Source organism: Homo sapiens, chromosome 4 (genome assembly GCF_000001405.40).
Source record: "Homo sapiens chromosome 4, GRCh38.p14 Primary Assembly".
In the NCBI taxonomy this organism is placed as follows: domain Eukaryota; kingdom Metazoa; phylum Chordata; class Mammalia; order Primates; family Hominidae; genus Homo; species Homo sapiens.
The window spans coordinates 37,760,364-37,764,132 of NC_000004.12; the positions used below are offsets into that span (position 1 = coordinate 37,760,364).

The 3,769-nt window shown below is 44.3% G+C and overlaps 1 long non-coding RNA gene across 1 annotated transcript; it reads left to right on the plus strand.

Moving 5' to 3' along the window:
• Positions 1 to 683: 683 nt before the first annotated feature.
• LOC105374406 (uncharacterized) lies at positions 684 to 3,462 on the plus strand. The gene is made up of 3 exons (XR_001741505.2): positions 684 to 908; positions 2,041 to 2,163; positions 2,405 to 3,462. It is a non-coding gene; the product is annotated as an uncharacterized LOC105374406 (long non-coding RNA).
• Positions 3,463 to 3,769: the final 307 nt, after the last annotated feature.

The window sequence follows — 3,769 nt, forward strand, 5'->3', positions numbered from 1 at the left end:
TGGAGTGGGGGAGGAGAACAGTTACCAAAAGGAGTCATGTGGACAAAGACATGTCTGCTCTCTCAGGACTGAACATCCTGCTTCAGTTTGTTCCACATCCATTTATGTATCATTTGTATTTGATCATATGTATCACCTGATAGTTACCATTTTTTGATCAGTTACTGTATGTCAGGAACTACTCTAGGAGCTGTACATAAAAGCTAAATGTAATAATAGCTAAACCTGAATGAATATTTGATACATGCCAGATTCTAAAATATGTATTCTAAACGTATTCTTATTTAATCTCCCCAATAACACCATGAGGTAAACACTATTATCATCCCCAGTTGAGAACACTGAGGTTCAGAGGACTTAGGAACGTGCCCAAAGCCATACCTCTGAGTGACAGAGCCAGAATTTGGACCTAAGGGAATCTGACCACAGGGCCGTTGTTCTTCATGTTCTGACCATTTTACTCTCATAAAAATCCCATGAGGTAATGTCTTATTAAAACCACTGTATTACAGGCAATGAGATAAGACTCAAAGAGGTTAAGCAAATTACTCAAGGTCATGTTCAGGCACTATGCTATGCAATTGTGAGCCAGAGATGGAGACATAGCCCCTGACAAGGCTGTTGTGTGTGGTTGCCCAGCTTGAGCACTGCACAAAATTGCCTCATCCATTGCAGAGGGCAAAGGAGGATGAGGCTTGAAATTTAGCCCAAGTTCTGCTCATAAACCTTGGCCCTGACCCTGGCTACATTGCACAAATTCTACAAGCCAAGATGTGTCTATGAAGCTGACGCTAACCAGAGGCGGAAGAGCATTACAAATTGAGTGAAGCTCCTAGTTGGGTTAACGGCAGCCCTGGCCCCAGGATCTCAAAAGCAGCCTGAAAAGCAGATGATGACAATGGAACATGGTAAGTACTGAGCAAGAGACTTCCCCAGAGAGCTAAGTGACCCAGGACAGGGGCATGTGGCTGCTCACCCTGCCACATCCAGACTTAAACAGGTCCAGTGGGCCACCTAGTCTGGTCACACGACACTCAGGGCTGCCAAACAGAAGGCTCCCCACATGAATGGGAGTACTGGGCCCATTCAGAGCCTGCTCTCTGAATTCACCCTGAGCAGAGCAAACCTAAGTGGACATTCTAGCAGCCTTAGCCTTCTAGACAGGACAATTGCAATCCCAAGACAATTGTAAAATGTAAGATACATGTTCAAGAGTGTGGGGACAGATAGCTACTCATTAATTTTTGTTTTGTTTGTGAGACAGATTCTCACTCTGTCACCCAGGCTGGAGTGCAGTGGCGCTATCTCAGCTCACTGCAACCTCCACCTTCTGCGTTAAAGCAATTCTCCTGCCTCAGCCTCTCAAGTAGCTGGAATTACAGGTGCGGGCCTGGCTAATTTTTGCATTTCTAGTAGAGACAGGGTTTTGCCATGTTGCCAGGCTGGAACTCCTGATCTCAGGTGATCCGCCCTCCTTGGCCTCCCAAAGTGTTGGGATTACAGGTGTGAGCCACTGCGCCCAGCCATTCATTTGGATATAGAAAGATAGAGTTTGCTAAAAACACTGGAGGGAACTGCTAGGTGCCTATCCCATAATCATTCCCCTTATTCCTTGCTATCAGAGCCCTAATGTTCTGTAATATTGGGCACCCACATGTTACACAGATTTCTTCCTGGCTCTAGGAAGTGGAAGTGGGGAGTAAATCTTGATTAATCTAAGCTGACTATCATAATTTGGGTTCCTTCTCAAGTAAAGTCAAATACAAAGAGTTGCTTCAAGTAGTTTATTTGGGAGGTGATCCCAGGAAACTGCCTGAAAACACAGCTTCAGAGATGAAAGAAAATGTCCATAAAGCATCAAGCACAAAGCCCTGATCACAGCAGGGAAGGATGTATGTCTAATTATTACCTTGAGATAGTTCCCTCCTGGTTTGGCATAGAGGTGTCTGGGGCTGGGTAGGATTTGTCACATGTGTGGCAGAATTAATGGTATCCTGATGTCTAATCACGTGATGGTGGGTTCATTTTCAACATTTGTAGGATATGCAGCCCCTGGGGCGAACCTGAGTGTTTGAAATGCATGGCAACAATGTTTAATTCATGGCAACAATGAATCAGTGCTCTAAGGAAGAAAGAAGTGAATGGCAAGATTGCACTTGCCCTGTAAGTGATGGGGCAATCCTCTCTTTCAGGGAGCGAGGGTTGGGGAGTGGGGGAAAGGCATGAGATTCTACTCTGTTGAGTTGTCTCACTGTGCTTAATGAAACTTTTAAAATATAATACATCTCTGGAAAAGGGTGGGAGAAAATGAGAATGAACTCCTGTGGAGCACTGAAAATCCACCTCATAGTGAGGAATTACTCTACCACAATCTTTTCTTACTTTCTCTCATGTTTCACTTAAGCACAGGACTGCCAGCCAGAAACTACATTTCCCAGCATCCCTTGCAGCTTGGTATGGCCATGTGACCACATTCTCATTAATACAGGGTGAGTGTGCCACATCCAACTCTTTTGTTCAAAAGAAATTGCTTTTCCACTTTCTGGAAGCTTTTGATGTAGTTTTGAGCATACAGAAGAGGGCTGGTTTATTCTAAGTATTGGGAACCCCTTCCTAAGGTCAAACTCTGAGGTTTAGGATGTCAAAGCATAGGCTTATCAAAAAAGCTTCTGATCACACACACACACACACACCGTTAATGCAACATTGACTTCCTCTAACAAGGCAAGTAGGGAGAGAGACGATAGCGGGAGAGATCTGGCTGGTCAGTCTTTCTCTGCCTCCTTTGCTGCTGACCCCAGGCAGTGTGTCTATGACCTCAGCTAGCAAGATTATTTTCTCTTGTCCATAGAAGGAGGTTGGACTCTCCCCCATACTGCATGTCAAAAACTGTAAAAGCCAGGTCAGCATTCTTCAAAAAGATTTATGAGATCAATGCTCCGTGCTCAGTAACAGTAGAGCAGAGCAGTCTGGACTTCTATGCAAAACCTTTCCTTAGAGAACTGGGGGTTACAGCAGCAAGCAGAACTGGGGGTTACAGTATTAGCTTAGATACACATTGGTGCCTCCACAGGCTTTCTTTCCAATGCAGACAACTTGTTTACACTGCTTGCTTTTTGAGTATAAACATTAAAAAAACTTTTCTTTGTTTCTTTTTTTTTTTTTTTGAGACAGGATCACAGGATCTCAGGATCTCACTCTGTCACCCAGGTTGGAGTGCACTGATGTGATCTCAGCTCACTGCAACCTCTGCCTCCCAGGCTCAAGTGATCCTCCTACCTCAGCCTCCAGAGTAGGTGGGACTACAGGTGCATGCCACCCTGCCTGGCTAATTTTTGTATTTTTTGTAGAGACAGGGTTTTGCCATGTTGCCCAGGCTGGTCTCGAACTCCTGAGCTCAGGTGATCCACCCACCTTGGTCTCCCAAAGTGCTAGGATTACAGTCATGAGCCACTGCACCCAGCCTAAAAACTTTTCTAAAAGACAACATATTCAAAAATAAATTTCATGGGAACATTTTAATGACATTTCTTAAGTTAACATGTTTCTGATTTGTCAAAGTGAAGTGTAAACACTGTCCAAATGTAAACACTTTCGAAGTGTAAACACTCTCAAAGTGTGTTGGAGAATACAGATCCTCTTATGTGGAAAGGAGTAGTGAGGCGGCCTTTAAACACTTACACAAAACACAAGCATTGCAAAGACATACTCTATGCGATAGAGAGGCAACAGGATCCTGAATGAACAGGTGTAGCCAAGGTGCTCTGCC